The 20,570-nt window shown below is 36.9% G+C and overlaps 1 protein-coding gene across 3 annotated transcripts in view, besides 1 other annotated feature; it reads left to right on the forward strand.

The window, feature by feature from the left end:
- ARID2 (AT-rich interaction domain 2) overlaps positions 1-20,570 on the forward strand; it is a 178,332-nt gene that overhangs the window by 34,331 nt on the left and 123,431 nt on the right. The window lies entirely within an intron of this gene.
- Positions 4,150-5,094: an enhancer, noted in NCBI's record as "NANOG hESC enhancer chr12:46161969-46162913 (GRCh37/hg19 assembly coordinates)". NCBI's record gives its function as "activates a minimal SCP1, AML or CMV promoter by ChIP-STARR-seq in naive H9 embryonic stem cells {active_cell/tissue: H9 hESC(naive)}" and the evidence as "EXISTENCE:reporter gene assay evidence [ECO:0000049][PMID:30033119]".

A 20,570-nucleotide genomic window follows, 5' to 3' on the forward strand; every position in this document is an offset into this window, starting at 1 on the left:
CTGCTTCCTTAAGCAGTTTATGTGATCACCATTTCTCAACTAGTTTTTTTTTAATATTAGACTTATCTATGGACGTAACTACTTTTTCATTTAAGACTAGTACACTTAACTATTAAAATTATTTTAGTAATTAACCTTTATTTTTTATTACATAAAAAAGGCAAATTTTCTACCCTTATCTTTTGCTTCCTGATTATAGTTATACTTGGTGGTGGAACTCGAAACAGTGATTGTGTGAAAGAACACAGATTAGAAAATTGCTAACTCTATGTTGTTGGAGTTGTTTTTTTTGCTTGACATTACTTAAGTAGTGAAATCATTCCCCCCTTTTTATTAAATATAATTTACACACAGTAAAATTCACCCATTTTAGTACTGCCTTGCAAGTTTTGACACATGCAAACAGTTGTGTAAGAACCACCAAAATGAAGATGTAGAACAGTTGTGTTACCCCTCACATTCTTCTGTCCCTTGTAGTCAGTCCAGCTCTCCATCTTCAGTCTCTGGCAACCGCTAATCTGTTTTATACCCTTACAAATGTGCTTTTTCAAGAATGTGATATAAATGAAATAATACTGTATGAAGCCTTTTAAGCCTGGCTTCTTTTTCTTAGTACAGTACATCTGAGATTTATACATAGTGCCTCTATCAGAATTCATTCTTTTGTGTTGTTAAGTAGTGTTCTGTTGTGTGGATATACTGAAGATTCTTTATTCTTTTTTAGTTGATGAATAATTTGGTTGCTTCCAGTCTTTGGTGATTAAAAACACTATAAACATTCGCATATAAGTTTTTCAGAAATTTTCACTTAATTTGAGTAAATACCAAGGAGTAAAATTGCTGGGTTATACCTTAAATATTTATTTGATCTCATAAGAAACTGCTAAACTGTTTTTGAGAATGGCTGAACTATTTTGTGTTTCCATTAGCAATATGTGAGTTCCAGTTGTCCCTCAACCTTGCTAGCATTTGATATTGTTAATTTTTAAATTAATTTTAGCCATTCTAAAAGATGTGTAATAATATCTCATTGTTCTTTTAATTTACATTTCCCTAAATGACTAATGAATGTGAACATTTTTAATATATGTTTTTTTCCACTGTATATATTCTTTGGTGAAGTAACTAAGTATTTGATCTCATGCCCATTTCTTTATTGGGTTGTTTTCTTTTTCTTTTCTTTTTTTTTGAGACAAGGTCTCTCTCTGTCACACAGGCTGGAGTGCAGTGGCACAATCTTGGCTCATTGCAGCCTCGACTCCTGTGCTCAAGTGATCCTCCCATGATAGCCTCTCAAGTAGCTGGGACTGCAGGCACACGCCACCAATCCTGGCTAATTAAAAAGTAAACTATTTGTAGAGATGGTGTCTCATCATGTTGCTCAGGCTGGTCTTGAATTCCTGGGCTCAAGTGATCCTCCTGCCTTAGCCTCCTAAAGTGTTGGAATTAGAGGTTTGAACTACTGAACCTGGCCTCGGTTTTTTTTTTTTTTTAATTGAATTTTGTGAGTTCTTCAAAATATTCTGGGTAGAAGTCCTTCATCAAGTATGTGATTCGCAGATATTTTCACATAAACTGTGATTTGTCTTTTTATTCTCTCTTCAGTAAGCATTATTGAGATATATAATTGATGTACAGTAAACTGAAAATGTTCTTTGTACAGTTTAGCTTTTTGAATTGTATAAAGTATACAATTTGGTAGGTTTCGACATGTGTATCCTGTGAAACTATTAACACAGTCAAGCTATGAATGTGAACATATTCATCACCCTCAAAAGTCTTTTCTTGCCCCTTTTTAACCTCTGGCTATCCCCAGGCAACCACTAATTTGTTAGTTTATTTTCATAACAAATTAGTTTGCATTTTCTAGGATTTTATATAAATGAAATCATACAATTTGTACTCTTTTAGTCAACAAAATTATTTTGAAATTGATCCATGTTGTTTCATATAGCAAAGTTCATTTTTATTTTATTGCTGAGTAGTATTCTATTGTATTGATACACCATAATTTGTTTAGGTATCCACTTCTTGATAGGCATGTGAGTTATTTCCAATTTTTGGTTGTTACAAATAAGACCACAATGAACATATTGTTTTATGTTATATATTGGATATGTTAGGCATATATTTAACTTTTTTTTTTTTTGAGACAGAGTCTTGCTCTGTCACCAAGACTGGAGTGCAGTGGCGCAATCTCGGCTCACTGCAACCTCTGCTTCCCAGGTTCAAGCGATTCTCCTGCCTCAGCCTCCTGAGTAGGTGGGATTACAGGCGCCCACCACCACACCCGACTAATTTTTCTATTTTTTAGTAGAGATGGGTTTCATTATATTGGCCGAGCTGGTCTTGAACTCCTGACCTCAAGTGATCTGCCTGCCTTGGCCTCCCAAAGTGTTGGGATTACAGGCATGAGCCACCCCACCTGGCCAAGTGGATTATATTCTTGAAAATGATGGAGAGTAGATTTTTTATTTTATTTATTTATTTATTTTGAGACAGAATCTTGCTCTGTCACCCTGGCTGGAGTGCAGTGGCGCAATCTTGGCTCACTGCAAGCTCCGCCTCCTGGGTTCATGCCCTTCTCCTGCCTCAGCCTCCCGAGTAGCTGGGACTACAGGCACCCACCACCACACCTGGCTAATTTTTTGTATTTTTTAGTAGGGACAGGGTTTCACCGTGTTAGCCAGGATGGTCTCGATCTCCTGACCTTGTGATCCGCCCACCTCGGCCTCCCAGAGTGCTGGGATTACAGGCGTGAGCCACCGCGCCCAGCCGGCATATATTTAATTTTTAAAGAAGTAGCTTGTAATCCTAGCTACTTGGGAGGCTGAGGCAGGAGAATCACTTGAACCTGGGAGGCAGAGATTGCGGTGAGCCAAGATCGCGCCATTGCACTCCAGCCTGGGCAACAAGAGCGAAACTCTGTCTCAAAACAAAACAAAAAACAACAACAATAACAAACATTTTACATTCTCACCAGCAATGTTTGAAAGTTCTGGTTGATCCATGTTGTCACTCAACATGGCCAATCTATTTTTTGCCATCCTCATAGGTGTGTAGTGATATCTTACTGTGGCTAGAATTTGCTTTTCCTTAATGACTAATCATATTGAGTACTGTTATATTCTTATTTGCATTTTTTATATATTCTTTGGTGAAGAGCCTGTTCAAGTCTTTTGTGCACCTTTGAAATTGAGTTGTTTTCCTTGTATTCAATTTTGGAGTCCTTTATGTATTCTGAATATTACCCAATAAGTGATTTGCAAATATTTTCTCTCAGTCTATGGCTTGTGCTTTCATTTTCTCGTGAAAAAAGGAAGAATTTTTAGTTTTTATAAAGTTGTTTTTTTTCAATTTTTTTTCTTTCAAGATTCATGCTTTTAGTTACTTACATGGTTACTTGGAAATAAAAATATTTTCCATGCTTTGAATAATCCTGTAAGTGAGGAAATAAATCTCTGAAGACTGGGCAGGAATGGCAGGTCACCACAAATAGCAACAAACTTAAGCTGGGTGGAGTGGCAGGGGCCTGTAATCCCAGCTCCTTGGGAGGTGGAGGCAGGAGGATCACTTGAGCCTAGGAGTTGGAGATTAGCTTGGGCAATATAGCAAGACTCTGTTTCTTGAAACAAAACAAAACAAAACTCTCAGTTCTGGGGAGAACGATGGTGTGTGGTATGGGATGTATCTGTGGAACTATAGTTTGTACATCTTCCTTGTTGAAGGTATGAGGAAAAAAATCTACTTCACACTGTTGCTGGTAGTTATCTCTGATTGTGGAAGAGGAATGCAGTGAAGGAGATGCAATAAGAAATCATTAAGAGACATTTGAGCTATACATTTAGTTGGGACAGTGCACTTTCAACAGGACAGCATGAGTCTTTCTGTAGACCCACTTTCCGGTGAAACTGGAAAAAGCAGTCATTTGGTCTCGAAAAATGGTCCTAAGAACATATAGCAAATGAAAAGACATTTATTCAAGAATATCTACTAAAACTTGGTAAGAACATTGAATTTCTGTGGTATTGAACCAAGACCCACTCCTTTTCCTCTTTCCCAGCTTGCTGAGATAGAAACTTCACTCCAGACTGGTGCAGCCAAGAACACAAGATTACCTGTTCCTTTATTTCCTAGTTGGAGGGTATCTTTCTCAAAGGAATAGGATATCAAGATTTTTTTTTTTAGTGGCCTGTTGGTGAGGTCAAGTTCTGGATGAGTGGGGCTGAGAGGCAGGAACTATTTCTTACTCATGGTACAGAGGCTGTACCTGTGTACAGTACCACTGAGAATACTGAAGGCACAGTCACCCATGCCCCAGCTTGTAATCCAGCAGTTCCACATTGGGAGAGGCAAGTTGAGACCCGAGGCTGTTGCCCCAACTCCACAAAGTGTTTTTGTCCTCTAGCTGGGTTGTCATTCAAAGAGAAGTGCACCATTGTTCCCCAGCTCCAGAGATAGAGACTTGCCTAGGGGGAGAAGTATGCTGTAAGACAGAGTTCTAAATCTCTTTCTAAAGCAACTAACTTCATTTGCTGGGGAGAAGTTCAGGCCTAAGAGTATTCAAAAACAGGAGGGTGCGGTGAGAGACAGTTAGGAGGAGATTGGTAGGTGCAGTGGAGATAAATAAACTGTAGAAGGGCTAGTTTGCTGGAGAGAACCAGGGAAATGAAGAGCTGGGAGGAGTCTTTTTGGGGTCAGAACAAATCTCAAACATTGGCCCCCGAAACTATTCCTTTAAAGGAACCCAGATTTGTTTTGATTGACCTGTGAAGCAATTTATGCTTCAGCACATTGTTGAAAACAATGGAGTAATCAGCCAGCAATTGGTGATGCCTAACAACTGGATGTGGTCAAAGAAAGAGGAAAAGAGTGCCCTGCCAAAACCACTGTCATTTCATGGTGACTTTGGGACTATCCAAGGCTGTGCCTCCTGAGGAGGAACATGAGGGGCTTCACACAGAGGGGAGATTGGGAGAAATATGCTTCACTAAAACAATCCAGCCAGTGACTAAAGAAATAACAGTAACATACCCCAGAGTGGGGCAATCAATATCCAGAGTGGCTATAATATATAAAATGGTCAGTTCCCAACAAAAAATTGTGAGATATGTAAAGAACATCAAAGAATGAGCTATACACCAGAAAAAAAGCAGGCAACAGAAACTGCCTGTAAAAGTGACCAGATTTTGGAATTAACTTCAAATAGCCATTGTAAATATGTTCAGAGAAGTAAATAAAATCACTATTAAGTAAAGCAATGTATGGTGACAATTTTTTATCAAATAGAGAATGTCAATAAAGATACAGAATTATTAAAAAGAACTAAGTGGGATTCTATAATTGAAAAATATTAAGGCTGAAATGAAGAGTTCACTAGAGGGACTGAGTCACAGATTTGTACTGGCAGAAGACAGAATTAGTTAATTTAAAGATAGATCAACAGAGATTATGCAGTGTGAAGAGAAAAAAAGCATGGAGAATAATCAACAGAACCTCATAGAAATGTGGGACGCCATGAAGTGTACCAACGTACACATAATGGTAGGACCAGGAGAGAACAGAAAAGAACAGAAAATGGAAGAAGGACTGAACATTTTTCTTTCATTGCCAAATTTATTCACAAGTTTATTGAAAAACATTAATCTATATGTCTTGGACCCTCAGTGAACTCCAAGTGAATAAATGCAGAGAGATTCACAGACACATCATGGCATAGGTTAAGGATAAGGAGGAAATCTTGAGAGCAGCAACATAAAAACATGTCATCACTTACAAGTGAACCCCAATAAAATTAATAACTGCCTTCTTATCAGAAAGAATGGAGGCCAGAATGCAGTGGGATAAGATCAAGGGCTTAAAGGGGAAAAAACCAAACAAACCTGTCAACCAAGAATTCTGTATTCAGGAAATCTGTCTTTGAAAAATAAAGGCAAGGCCGGGCGCGGTGGCTCACACCTGTAATCCTACCACTTTGGGAGGCTGAGACGGGTAGATCACGAGGTCAGGAGATCGAGACCATCCTGGCTAACACAGTGAAACCCCATCTCTACTAAAAATACAAAAAGTAGCCGGGAGTGGTGGTGGGCGCCTGTAGTCCCAGCTACCCGGGAGGCTGAGGCAGGAGAATGGCGTGAATACGGGAGGCAGAGATTGCAGTGAGCCGAGATCGTGCCACTGCACTCCAGCCTGGGCGACAGAGCGAGACTCCATCTCAAAAAAAAAAACAAAAAACAAGAAGGCAAAACAAAAATATTCCCAGACAGATAAACAAAACTCAGAGAATTTGTTGCTAGCAGTCATGCCTTACAATGACACAGGATTTTTTTTGGCCCCTTTGCCAGGGTCACAGCAGGGGGGCACCCTGTCTACTTGTCCCACCTGGGCTAAGTCTGACTTGTGCACCAGCACAGCCTGCAGCTAGACCAGGGGTGTCCCAGCTCACCTGTGCTATAGCTTGTACCCACATTCAGTGGTTCCCAAGCTCTTGTCCCCCATCCGAGAAGAATGGGGATACACTGACAGTTGAAGAGTGAGGAAGGCGGAGAATAATTTTATTGAATGACAGAACAGCTCTCACCAAAGAGAGGACACGGAAGTGGTCCCTCTCTCAGTGTGGCTGAGTCCAGGGTTTTTATGGCCTCAGAATAGGGGAGTGTGTGCTGATTGGTTTCCTAGTATGCAGAGAAAGGCTAAAGCAGAGGCACCACTCAGAGGTGGGCACAGCAGGGTAGAAAACCAATTAGGAAAGAGTAGGTGTATGTAAAATAGTTGAAGGGTAGAGATCAATCAGAGAAAAGTGCACCAAATGGGAAGACAGGTTCTCAATCCAGTCCATGGATTTGACTTGTAGCTTGGCTTTCAGGCTTTAAACTTTCTTTGGCTTGGGAGTGGGGTTTCACCAGGGAACCATCCCTATCTGCCTGGCATTTGACTGCCTCCTGTCACTACCAATAAGAAGTACTAAAGGAAGTTACTTGGACTGAAAGCCGGCGATCCCACATAGTAATTTAAATCCACACACACAAAATTGACAAAAAGCACCACCAGCGAAGGTAATTATATAATTATAAAAGATAGTATAAATGCATATTTCTTTTCCATTTCTTAATTGATTTAAAAAGCAGGCTGGGCGCAGTGGTGAAACCCCATCTCTACTAAAAATACAAAAATTACCCGGGCGTGGTGGCTCACGCCTGTGATCCCAACTACTCAGGAGGCTGAGGCAGGAGAATCGCTTGAGCCCGGGAGGCGGAGGTTGCAGTCAGCTGAGATCGTGCCACTGCACTCCACCTGGGCAACAGATTGAGAGTCCATGTCAAAAAAAAAAAAAAAAAGCAATTGTGGGCTGGGTATGGTGGCTGAAACCTGAAATCCCAGTACCTTGGGAAGTTGAGGCAGGTAGATCACCAGAGGCCAGGAGTTTGAGAGCAGCCTGGGCAACATAGTAAGACTCTGTTTTTACAAAAAAAAAAAAAAATTTAAAACTAGTTAGCCACAGTGTTGCATGCCTGTAGTCCTAGCTGCTTGGTAGGCTGAGGTGGGAGGATTGCTTGAGCTCAGGAGTTTGAGGCTGCAGTGAGCTATGATTGTACCACTGTACGCTAGCCTGGGCAACAGAGCCAGACCCTGTCTTAAAGAGCAAATGTGTAAAACTATATATATATATATATAGTCTTTGGGACCATATACATTAAAATGCAATATATTTGCCAGTTACAGTGTGAGGAAAATTTGTTGGCACAAAACTACTTAACTGAGGAAATGACTCTTGATGGTAATTTGAAGCCACGGGAACAAGGAGAACCAGAAACAGTAAAAAAGAGCAAACTCCCTTTGCTCTTTTTATTCTCTCAGCTTTTAAAAAAGTTGTAAAATTATGTAAAGTAATAACTATAACAAGTATTGTTCAGCTTATAACATTTATAGATGTATAAAACAGTGATATCACAAAAAGGAGGAAAAGGAAATAGAGCTATATAGGAGTAACATCTTCACATCTCAGTGTGATTAAGTTAGCATAAATCTGAAGCTGGATCTGATAAGATGTATATGGGAAGCCCTAGAGCAAACATGAAGGAAAATCAATGACAAAATGCTACATTAGGAAATATTGATGTAATGCAAAAAGAAAGCAATAAAGAAGGAGGAATGGAGAAACAAAAACATGAGATACACACAGAACAAAAAGTAGATTAGCAGGTCAAAATCTAGTTATATCAATAATGACAATTAATGTAAATGGATCAAACAGTCAATTCAGAAGTTAGAATCCAGGTGTGGTAAAGTACACCTGTAGTCCTAGCTACTCAGGAGGCTGAGATGGGAGGATTGCTTGAGCCCAGTAGTTAAGAGCCAGATTGGGTAACATAGCAAGACCCTGTTTACAAAAATTTTAAAAAGGCAGAGACTGGAGATTGTCAGACTGGATAAAAAATACAGAACTCAACTCTATGCTCTCTACAGGAGACACACTTCAGATTCAAATATATGGATTGAAAATAAAAGGATGACAAAAGATTTATTATGCAAATTATAACCATAAGAAAGCTGGAGTGGCTATATTAATATCAGGCAAAATAGATTTTAAAACAAAAAAAAGTTACTGAAGCTAAAAAGGGACATTTTATATTCATAAAAAAATTGCAGTTCATTAAGAAGACATAATAATTGTAAATTGTGAATATCTGCATCTAACAACAAAGCTCCAAAATAGTATGAAGCAAAAACTGATAAAGGGAGAAAGAGGCAATTTAAAAATAATGGTTGCAGACTTTAATACCCCTCTTTCATTAACGGATAGAACAACTTGGCAGATGATCAACAAGGAAATATAAGACTTGAACAGCATTGTAAGTCAACCAGACCAAACAGACACTATCCAAGAGTAGCAGAACACTATCCAACAGTAGCAGAATATGGATTTTTCTGTAGTGCAAACGGAATATTCTCTAGGAAACACCATATGCAACACTGTAAAAGAAACCTTATTACATTTAAAAAGAAATAATACAAAGCATGTTTTCAAAGCACAATAGAATGAAATGAGCAACCAACAGAAAGAAATTTGGGAAACTTAAAAATATGTAGAAATGGAACATGTTCCTAAAGTAACTAGTGAGTGAAAGAAGAAATCAGAAGTAAAGTTGGAAAATACTATGAGATTAATGAAAATGAAGAAATAATATACTAAACTTATGGGTGCAGTTAAGGTAGTGCTTAGAGGAAAATCTGTAATTGTAAATGTCTATTAAAAAAGAAGAAAAATCTCAAATTGATACAGCCGTCTACCTTAAGACACTGAAAAAAGAGCAAACCTAAACCTAAAGCAAGCAGAGAAAGGAGATAATGAAGGTTCAAGAAGAAATTAATGAAATAAAAGAAAAACTAGTTAAATCAAAATTAGTTAAATCAAAAGCTGGGTCTTTGAAAATATCAACAATTTTGCCAAAATATTTAGCTAGATTGTCTAAGAAAAAACAAAACACAGATTACTAGAATTAGAAATGAAAGAGGAGACACTGCTACCAATCTTACAGAAATAAAAAGGAGTGTAAAGGAATAGTAGCAGCTGTATGCCAATAAATTAAATAACTTAGATGAGATGGACAACTTTCTAGAAAGATACAAACTACCAAAATTGACTTAAAAAAAAAAGACAATGTAAATAGACCTATAACAAATAAAGAGATTGAGTTAATTATTATTTTTTTAAGAAGCCACCTACAAGGTAAAGCAAAGGCCCAGATGGTTTAACTAGGGAATTCTGCCAAACATTGAAAGGAAAATTAGTACAGATTCTTCACCAACTTTTGCAAGAAATAGACTTAGTTGGGGACAGATGTACCTTCTTACAGCAGTTGGTGTGGGAATGGGTAACCAGAGCACTAGGGAAATAGCAGTAAGTTATTTATCTTCCCCTGTGACTGGAGATTAAGATCCTTGCTTTGAGTGGAAACTTTTTTTTCATATATAGTAGCTTCCTGCATTCAATTATCTTGTAACTAGTTTATAAAACTTTTAACTTCCTTAAAAGACATTGTATTGCCTGAGTGAGGGAAACCTTTTGAAGGCAGATTATTGATTATTGAATCCGAATTTATTTAAAAATTTTAAATAAAATGTTTAAAGTGTGTTTATAAGATTATACCAAATACTAGTTGTATTTCTAGGTTCTAATATAATAATGTTAATTTAAAGACATTACTAAATTACTTATATTCAGGTTTTTAGTTAACCTAATTTTTAGTGTGAAGGTCTGTTACAAGAATAAAGGACCCTTACATGTTCCTTGAATCATTTGGTGTAAACTTAAAGAGTATAAGCTGGGGCTGAATTGGCTGATTTTTAAAAATCACTTTTCCCTGGAAACTTGTTTATCATACCTGTCAAAGATCATTTGTATGCGTCTCACTTGAGTATTAGAGATCTTTGAGGTTGGTAGGTCAACTTTTAGCATCTTTTTCCCCTTTATGTGTATGTATGCATGTGTGTACATGTTTGTGTGTTGTGTTTAATATGAATTGTGGCATACTTTTTTACCATTTGGGATATAAATTATGGCTTCCCATGAGCGTCCCAATATGCAGCACTGGTGGGACTCTAAGAGACGATTCCTCCCTCCAAAGTTTCTAAACGTTTTTGTTAACTATTACAGGAAGTGAGTTCAGACTCCTGTTACTGCCAACACACTAGGCAGCCATGTACACATACAAAATGATAATAATAGTGGCTAACATTTGTTGAATGCTTGAGTTTTATGAGGCATTGTGGCCAGATAATTGTTCCATCCAAAACTTAGATTATTTGTAAACATTTTCAATTTACTGCTGTTCTTGATTTTGAGCTACGGCAGTAGTTCTCCATAAGGGGTAGTTTTGCTTCACAGAGAACATTGGGCAATGTCTGGAGATATTTTTGATTGTCATAGCTGGGGAGTGCTGCTGGCATTTAGTGAATAGTGGCTAGGGATACTGCTGAATAATGTATAATGCTCAGGATGGTCCCCCCATAAAGAAGAATTATCCAGCCTGAAATGTTAATAGTGCTGAGGATGAGAAACCCTGGCCTGGAGTGATTGTGCGTTCATCCTATGAGCCATGATTCTTGCAGGTTTGAGGGAAAATGATGCTTTCTTTTAGTGTTTGGTTGAACTATATTTTCATGCTAGTACTTTAGGACGTAAGCTGACAACCAGAATGTCTAGCTCCAGAAAGTTTGCAGTGTTTGCCATCTCAGAGAAAACCTAGAACTATTTTTGGATCATTGCCCTCTATGCCTGACAGAGTCTTCCAGAATGTCTATTTCTATGTGCAATAGGGATTTTATCTAAGAGGCTTCATTGCTCTTTTATGCCCTTGGGTTTTGGTTAGGGCATCCTTATCACATCCAATAAGACTCCATCTGAATCCAGGTGAGAAAAGAATTTTAAGTTTTCAAATTTTTTCTCTCTCAGAAGTTTCTGGATTCTTTTTTGAAAATTTATTCATTACTGTTCTTACAATTTGATGCGTTACTAGTTTCATGGAAGGGAGAATAACATTACAAAGCATTTTAAAGCTTTGCTATATTGGAACTGTCTGTTTTAAGGCAGGAGAAACATTAACTCATTAGCTCAGCCAATGTCATATGAGCTAAGTAGTTTGGTGAAGTCATGATTCCACTTTAGGTATGCTCTAAAATAAAGGCATACTGTGTTAATTTTACTGCCAGATGGATGCAAATAGAATTTAGTTTAAATATATTAAGGAACTAATCTTTTCATTTTATAAGTTATTCAGGATCATACTTTTTTCTGCTTTAAGTACTTTATTGCTGTTGCTTATCTTAGTAATTTCTAGCTGGTAAACTTAACCTTTCGAAGAATGTTTTAACCTACGTTGTTGTAATAATTGGTGAAAATCCGGTGGTACCATATTTCTCTGAAATAATTTACTTCCAGTAACTAATTAATACAATGTTAGGCAAGAGAGTATTTGCTTACATATATTTAGATATGTGTTTCTAATTAGAGAACTTTTGACATGTTACAATTTTTATTTCAGGCAGTATACTTCATGAGACTCTACAGCAGTGATTCTCTAACTGAGGTTCCCCAGACCAGCCGGATCGGCATCATCTGGGAGCTTGTTAGAAATGCAAATATTCAGACCTACTCAGTCAGAAACTCTGGGGTTAGGGCCAAGCAGTCTGTTTTTAACAGGTCCTCCAGGTGATTCTGAACCTTGCTAAAGTTTAGGAACTGCTCTACAGAGAGTGACTTGTTGAAATAAGTTCACTTGATTTTAATCCAGTATATTTGTCTTGTTCTCCTTTTGTTCAAACTACCACATTTTAAACTTGTATTACTTGTGGGAAGATAAACTGTCCAAATTTCTGGCTGAACTCAAATAGCTCACATGAAGCGTTTAAAGAAAGACAGTTTGAGAAATATTATTTCAAGGGTCAGGATAGGTGTTTATATAAATCACTATTTTAAAAAAGCCCTCAAAATATTTAATTTAAAATCCTGTACTGTGGGAGTATGATTGTTTGGTACTGAGGAGCTGCTGAGTTAAACAGATTCCTGAGACATGAAATCAAAGGATTTTTTTAAAAATTCACATGCTTCTATAGAAACTTTAAAAATCGAGGCTGGGCATGGTGGATCATGCCTATAATCCCAGCACTTTGGGAGGCCAAGGCGGACAGATCGTTTGAGCCCAGGAGTTCGAGACCAGCCTGGGCAACATAGTGAGATTCCGGCTTTTTTTTTTTTTTTTTTTTTGAGACAGTCTTGCGGGGTCGTCCAGGCTAGAGTACAGCGCCGTGATCTCGGCTCACTGCAACCTCTGCCTCCCAGGTTCAAGCAATTCTTGTGCCTCAGCCTCCCAAGTAGCTGGGGTTACAGGCACACACCACCATGCCCAGCTAATTTATGTGGTTTTTTTTTTTAAAGTAGAGATGGGGTTTTGCCATGTTGGCCAGGCTGGTCTCAAACTCCTGGCCTCAAGTGATCCACCTGCCTCGGCTTCCCAAAGTGCTGGGATTACAGACGTGACCCATTGTGCCCAACCTCCATCTCTATTTTTTAAATAAGATATTTTATATAAAAAAGGAAACTTTAAAAATGGAAATTAGGATGATAATATATAAGAAGAGGTAGTATGCTGAAAACTGCAATTATTTAAAGAAAAGAAGTCTAAAAATATATTCTAAAAGTTCATAGTATAGTATATATTGTATAGAGATGTTCTTTTAAATAGTGGTAGAAAAGAATTCCAGATTTGGATGCTTATAATAGTACTGTTAGTCTATTTGAGAATTTAATTGTAGTGTAATAAGTATTAATGCTCTAATTAATGTGTTCATAATGACTGAATTGCCATTGAGATGATAGTGTATTGTGTATAATATATAGAAGATACAATCACATTAAATGTACAGAGCTGTGCTATTATCTATAGCTTGCAAATCTTTGGGCCTTTCTTCTTAATAATGCACAAGCAGTACATTAATATTGAGATACTTCAACTGGTGACCTTAATTTTTCTCCGTGTAAGTCAAATTTTTTATATGCAGGTTATACTACTAAAGTCTTAACTTGAGTCTATCCCTAATTATCTTTCAATATAGGTGCTACATATTTTATTCTTGCTGGTAAACTAATTTTTATTTTATGTTAGTTTAGCTTATTATACATTAGCCTTTCTTAGCGTTGTCGTAGATTATAGGGACTAAGTACAGGGACTGTTGTCTTTAAAGTTTATATTTTTTATATAAATATATATTTTATTTTTTTATATAAATATATATTTTATATTTTATAAAGTTTATATTATACTCAACAAGTAGAATTTTAACAAACTGGACTATTTAGTAATTTTACTAATAAGAATGGTTAAAACCGGCCAGGCCCAGTGGCTCACGCCTGTAATCCCAGCACTTTGGGAGGCTGAGGCAGGTGGATCATCTGAGGTCAGGAGTTCTAGACCAGCCTGGCCAACATGGTGAAACCCTGTCTCTACTAAAAATACAAAAATTAGCCGGGTGTGGTGGCAGGCGCCCATAATCTCAGCTTCTCAGGGGGGCCGGGGCAGTGGAATCGCTTGAACCCGGGAGGCAGAGTTGCAGTGAGCCGAGATTGCGCCATTGCGCTCCAGCCTGGGGGACAAGAGCGAGACTTCTCCAAAAAAAAAAGAATGCTTAAAAGCCCAGTTTATATGTGTTCCCCCCCCAACCCGCAAGAAAATGCCTTATTATAGATCTAGGATATAGATGGCAGAGTAGAGGTAACCTCTTATGGTGTTAATTTGCTATTTTTCACTTCCAACTTCAGGGTATCTAACCTCATCATAACTCTGGGTAGAGGCCAGGAATATATACATTTCGTGTAAAAAAGAATATTCATAAGTTGAATGTATGTTAGTACTTAGTGCTGTTTTTGATATTTGTGTGTATATAGATAGGTAGAGAAGGCAGAGAGAGAAGTAATAAAAGACTGCAGAGAGAGTAATAATAAGAAAAAGACTATAGGTCCTAGATAGATCTATATTTGCTCGGAAGTTATATACAGTGTATGTAGTTTACTACACAGTGTATTTACTTAGGTTAGTAAGAAAATCAGTGTTTTCAGAGTTTCTACTTAATTTTTATTTAAATTAATTTAAATTTTTAAATAAATGACGGTTCATTTACATATTAATTATACTTCAAAAATCATATAATATTTTATGTATTAATCTGAATTAAAATCTTTGGAAAATAATGGGCTGTTTTTCATCCTAAAGCTGATACTGGTTAATTATAGAAAATCTGGAAACATCTGAAAAAGTATCTGGAAGAAACTGTAAATCCCATGTGAACCTACCACTCAAAAATAATTACAATTAATATTTTGGTTTATTTCTTCCCAGTCTTTTAAAAAATAAATTTTTAAAATTGGCATCACTCATATCTTTATTAGTTTTTTAACCTATTATAAACAATAACTTTTCCATATCTTTAGTTTTTAGATAATTTTAATAACTTCATATTTGTGTCATAATTTTAACTTCTTTTTATTGTCATACATTTAAGTTACCCTTTTGCTTTAATGTTATAAATTTTGTGGTGAATCTTCTTGTTCATAAATGTATTTATAAATCTGTAAATCTTTTATCTGTGTCTGATTATTTCCTTTTATATTTCTAGAGGGGTAATTACTAAGTCAGGAAATATAAATGTTTTCAAGATTCTTAATGTATATTGCCAAGTAGCCATCCAGAAACACTGATCCAATTTAACATCCACTAGCAGTATGTAAAATGTCTATAAAATAATACTTTTGTCACCAGTTAGTATCATAATTGCATTTTAAAAATCTTTACTATTTCATTTGTGAAAAATTGTACTTTGTTCTGTCAAATATTGTCAAAATACTGAAAATGTTATTTTACATTATAGTTTTAAGTGGATTAATTGAACATTTAAAAAACATACCTGGACTTTATCAATTTAAATTAAAATGTAGTTTAGTAGAACATTGTCAACAGCCAGGAGATTTGGAAATATTTGGTCATTGTAATGGTAAGAGGATCCATTGGGAATCACCATTGATTAATAGACTTTCACTTGAACTTTAGGTCTTGCCTCTGATCATTATTTGGATTTTTAGAGTAATTCTCATTAGTTTTCTGTCATCTTTTAGTTTTGCCAAATCAAAACTTGGCAGTTTTATTAAAATAATAATTTATTCAATAATATTATTGAAATAAAGCAGCTTTAAAAGCAAGAGAAAATTCATACTGAGAAGTATTTTTCTATAGAAAAATAAATCCTTGCTCATTTATCAAATTTTAGGAATGGCTGTTATAATGTAGGAATGTAAGAGCGCTGCTTTGAAATTAGACTTTTTAGTAACTTATTAAGATTATGTCATTTGCTTACAATATTTATATTGGATAAATTGTCTAACTTCTAGGCCTCAGTTTCCTTATCTATTAAATAAGATTAAAAACAGTTTCTTACAAGGATTGTGAAAGTTAATACATGTAAAGTACTTACTTAGCAGATTGCCTAGTAGTTGGTAAATGCTAACTACATGCTGGTTATAGTTTAGCAGATTTTGATAGACTTATTCATTCAACAAGTATTTACTAACCACTTACAGTGTGCCACACACTTTGTAGACATTGCTGATACAAACTGACAATCATCTGATGGAACTTACACTGCAGTTAGGGATGAGGGGGTAGAATTTATCTTGAAAATTAAAATAACCATAAACAAGTGTTTAAAAACTTGGGATAAATGACTTCATGGGAATAAATGGCCTTATAGTTAAAGAATGACTTCTGCCTTTTGGGGGAGGAGTACTTTGCACTGTTTTTGTTTTCTGTATAAGTTTTATTCATATGAAAAGTGATGTGATTAGTATCTGCTTTTTTTCATTTGGGAAACTCAAGCTGATAGAAAATAAAGCATCTGATTTTTATATGGTAATACATGTTGGAATTAATGATACTATAATAATTTATCTGAGAAGGGAAGAAGGAATTGCTTTTTTGGTAACTAAACAGCAGAGTACATTTACATTTTAAAGTAAATTGATATAAATTATTATTATTATTATTATTTTTGGAGACGGAGTCTTGCTCTTATTGCCTAGGCTGGGGTGCAATGGCGTGATCTCGGCTCACTGCAACCTCTGCCTGCCGGGTTCAAGTGATTCTCCTGCCTCAGCCAACCTAGTCACTGGGATTACAGGTGCCTGCCACCACGCCTGGCTAATTTTTTGTATTTTTAGTAGTGATGGGGTTTCACTATGTTGGCCAGGCTGTTCTCGAACTCCTGACCTCAGGCGATCCACCTGCCTTAGCCTCCCAAAGTGCTGGGATTACAGGCGTGAGCCACTGCGCCCGGCTGAAATTATTTTCTTTGCTTAGCTGTTAAAATTGGCCTCCAAAATTAAAGAAAAATATAGCATTTACTTTTAAGAGTAATATTTGTTTTTAAAATTACTTATGAAGTAGTTTTCAATCTCACTAAATCCCCCACTCCCATAAAAACAGAGCTGAAAGAAATCATACTACTTATTTATGGCTGCATTACAAATTACCCTCAAACCCAGCACTTAAAACAACAAACATTTATTATCTTAAAGTTTCTGTGAGTTCTGAATCTGGGCACAATTTAGTTCTAGCTTAGACTCTAGCTAAGAGTCTGTCACTGTCAATCTGTTGCAATCAAGACTGCAGTCAATGGTTGGCCTGGGTTTCAGTCATCTCAAAGTTTGACTAGGGAGGAGTCTGCTTTCAAACTCACTCAGTGATTGTTGACAGAATTAATTTCCTTGTGGCCCATTGAAATGAGGGCATTGGCCAGGCACATCAAATTTTATCAATTGAGTACTCAGTACTTGCCTAGTATAACTAAACCCTTAAAATATAACATGTTGATTATGTTTTGGAATAAAGGTCAGATTATCATTGGTCATTACTTGCTAGCCTTCCGGTAAGTACCAAGTCTTACAAGAGTAATGGATATATTTTCGCCAAGTTGAGGAACCTCCACTTTTCTGTTATAATTTTTCTTGGAAGTACTTTACTTGGATTGGTTTGAAGGGCTTCACCATAACTCTGCTTTTCAGGCTTTTAAAAATGGAAGTGATTGTTGCTGACTGAATTTCCCAGGGCTGTATTTCACCAACTGCCTGTAAGATATGGATAGGTTTGTAGGTGGGAGTTTAAGGAAGGATTTGTGAATCTGACAAAAGCTGCTTATTGTATCCTATAGATTCACAATGCACATTAACATACTTTAAGTGCTCTTAGCTAAAGGAACCTGTTTAAACCCATATTTCTCAGAGTTAATTGGTATGGAATCCTTTTATGGTACAGTATCTATTAAGATTTTGAAGAACAAATATTTTGTGGGCCAGTTGTGGGAGAACAATTCTAGTACAAGATAAAACTTGCTGTTTCCTCAGTAACTGTTAAATGACCAGTAAAGGGGAGGTATAAAAAGTTAATATAAAAGTTATAGAGAATTAAGGGAAAAATTTGAGGATGAAGGAGGGACACTAGTAAGTTTTTTTTAAAAAAGAGAGTAGATTTAAAAAGATGACTTGTGAGAAGGGCTATAAATTGAAATTGTGGAATTGGATTTGGCACATGCTACAAAATTTTATAAAAATAGAATATTCACTAGCAAATGTGTCTAGAAACAAAGTAGAAAACACAAATATACAACATTAGGTGTCAGAAGAATACATAGCTATAAAAACGGAGGAGATTAAAAAAATGAGAAACCTGTAAAGTAAAACTAATACTAATAAATTTAAACATCTGAATCAAGCTGGGCACGGTGGCTCATGCCTGTAATCCCAGCACACTGGGAGGCCGAGGTGGATGGATCACCTGAGGTGAGGAGTTAAAGACCAGACTGGTCAACATGGTGAAAACCCGTCTCTACTGAAAATACAAAAATTAGGTGGGCATGTTGTCAGATGCCTGCAACCCCAGCTACTCAGGAGACTGGGGCAGGAGAATCACTTGAACCCGGGAGGTGGAGGTTGCAGTGAGCCGAGATCGCGCCATTACACTCCAGCCTGGGCGACAGAGCGAGACTCTGTCTCAAAAAAATTTTTTTGAATCAAAATTTAGTAATTTTAATGTGCTTGATGTCATATATACTAACAAGTGGCAGAACTAGGACTTGAACTAAAGTCCTTTTTGTCAACAGTGTCTGTAGGCTGACCTGTTGGGCTCTATTGTTTCCCTAATGAAGAGATAGGAAACCTCAGGGAAAAAAACTTAAGAAGTGAAAAATGGGCCGGGTGCGGTGGTTCATGCCTGTAATTCTAGCACTTTGGGAGGCTGAGGCGGGTAGATCACTTGAGCTCAGGAGTTCGAGACCAGCCTGGGCAACATGGCAAAGCCCTGTCTCTACTAAAAATGCAAAATAAATAAATAAATAAAAATTAGCCAGGGGTGGTCGTGCGCACCTGTAATCCCAACTACTGAACTACGGGGGAGGCTGAGGCACGAAAATTGCTTGAACCTGGGAGGCAGAGGTTGCAGTGAGCCAAGATCACGCCACTTTACTCCACCCTGGATGACAGAGTAAGACTCTGTCTCCAAAAAAAAAAGTGAAAAATGATTCTCATGATTGAAAAAAAAATCCAAAGCTTAGAAAAGGATGGAAAGTAGTCTGATTAATTTTGTAATAAAATCTGACCAAGATTATGTCAAAGTTTAATCTAGACCAGCCTTAATTATGACTATCAATAACTAAATATGAAATTAGCTAATTCAGCAGCACTACAGTGAAAAATATATCATAACATGTAGGGGGTTATGTTAGGATTATTGAAAATCAGGTGTGAAAAATTTTATGGTCATCTCAGTAAATGAGGAAAATAAATTGATAGAGTATTTAATCAGAAAACAAACATTATGCTCAATGGTGAAATGTTAGAGCAGTGGTCCCCAACCTTTTTGGCACCAGGGAACAGTTTTGTGGAAGACAGTTTTTCCACAGACTGTGGCAGGGGGATGGTTTCAGGATGATATTAAGTGCATTACGTTACATCATTAGATTCTCATAATGAGCATGGAACCTAAATCTTTTGCATGCGCAGTTCACAGTAGGGTTCACGCTCCTTTGAGAATCTAATGCCACTGCTGATCTGACAGGAGGTGGAGCGCAGTTTCGCTGGCTTGCCACTCACCTCCTGCTGTGCAGCCCGGTTCCTAACAGGTCAGTTAGTACCAGTCTGTTGAAATTGTGAACCATTGGCTAAATAAACTTATTTTCATTATAAATTACCCAATCTCAGGTGTTCTGTTTTAGCAACACTAAACAAAGACGAGAAAATTATCACTACTTTTAAGTTAAATAGGAAAGCAAAGAAACAATGGGAAAACTATTGGACCTAATGAGAGACTTCTATAAAGTGGACAGAATCCAAAAATATAAATATGCAAAAAAGTTTTTATTTAATTTTGTTTAGAATCAGGGTCTCACTGTGTTGCCTGGGCTGGAGTGCAGTGGCAAGATTGTAGCTCACTGTAGCCTCAAACTCCGGAGCTCAATCAGTCCTCCCACCTCAGCCTCCTGAGTAGCTGGGACTACAGGTGTGTGCTGCTGTACCTGGCTAATTTGTTTGTTTTATTTTTATTTTTATTTATTTAGTTATTTATTTTTAGAGATGAGGGTCTTGCTGTGTGGCCCAGACTGGTCTTGAACACCTGGCCCCAAGTGATCCTCCTGCTTCAGCCTCCTGAGTCTCTGGAATTACAGACACAAGTCACAGTATCCAGCCAAATATGCAAAACTTAGTATCTACTATTTTAAAATATGATACCAGCAATTCCAATTAAAATTAATAAAAAAAGATCCAACTTATAATAATATCTAAGAATAAACACAATGAGAAACATGTAAGACCTATATAAGAAAAACTTAAATGAAGCTGGGGGCGGTGGCCTGGGCAATGTGGTGAAACACCATCTCTACAAAAAATACAAAAATTAGCTGGGTATGGTCCCAGCTACTTTCAGGGGGCTGAGGCGGGAAGATCACTTGAGCCCAGGAGGAGGAGGTTGCAC

The sequence above is a fragment of the Homo sapiens genome, chromosome 12 (genome assembly GCF_000001405.40).
Source record: "Homo sapiens chromosome 12, GRCh38.p14 Primary Assembly".
NCBI lineage: Eukaryota > Metazoa > Chordata > Mammalia > Primates > Hominidae > Homo > Homo sapiens.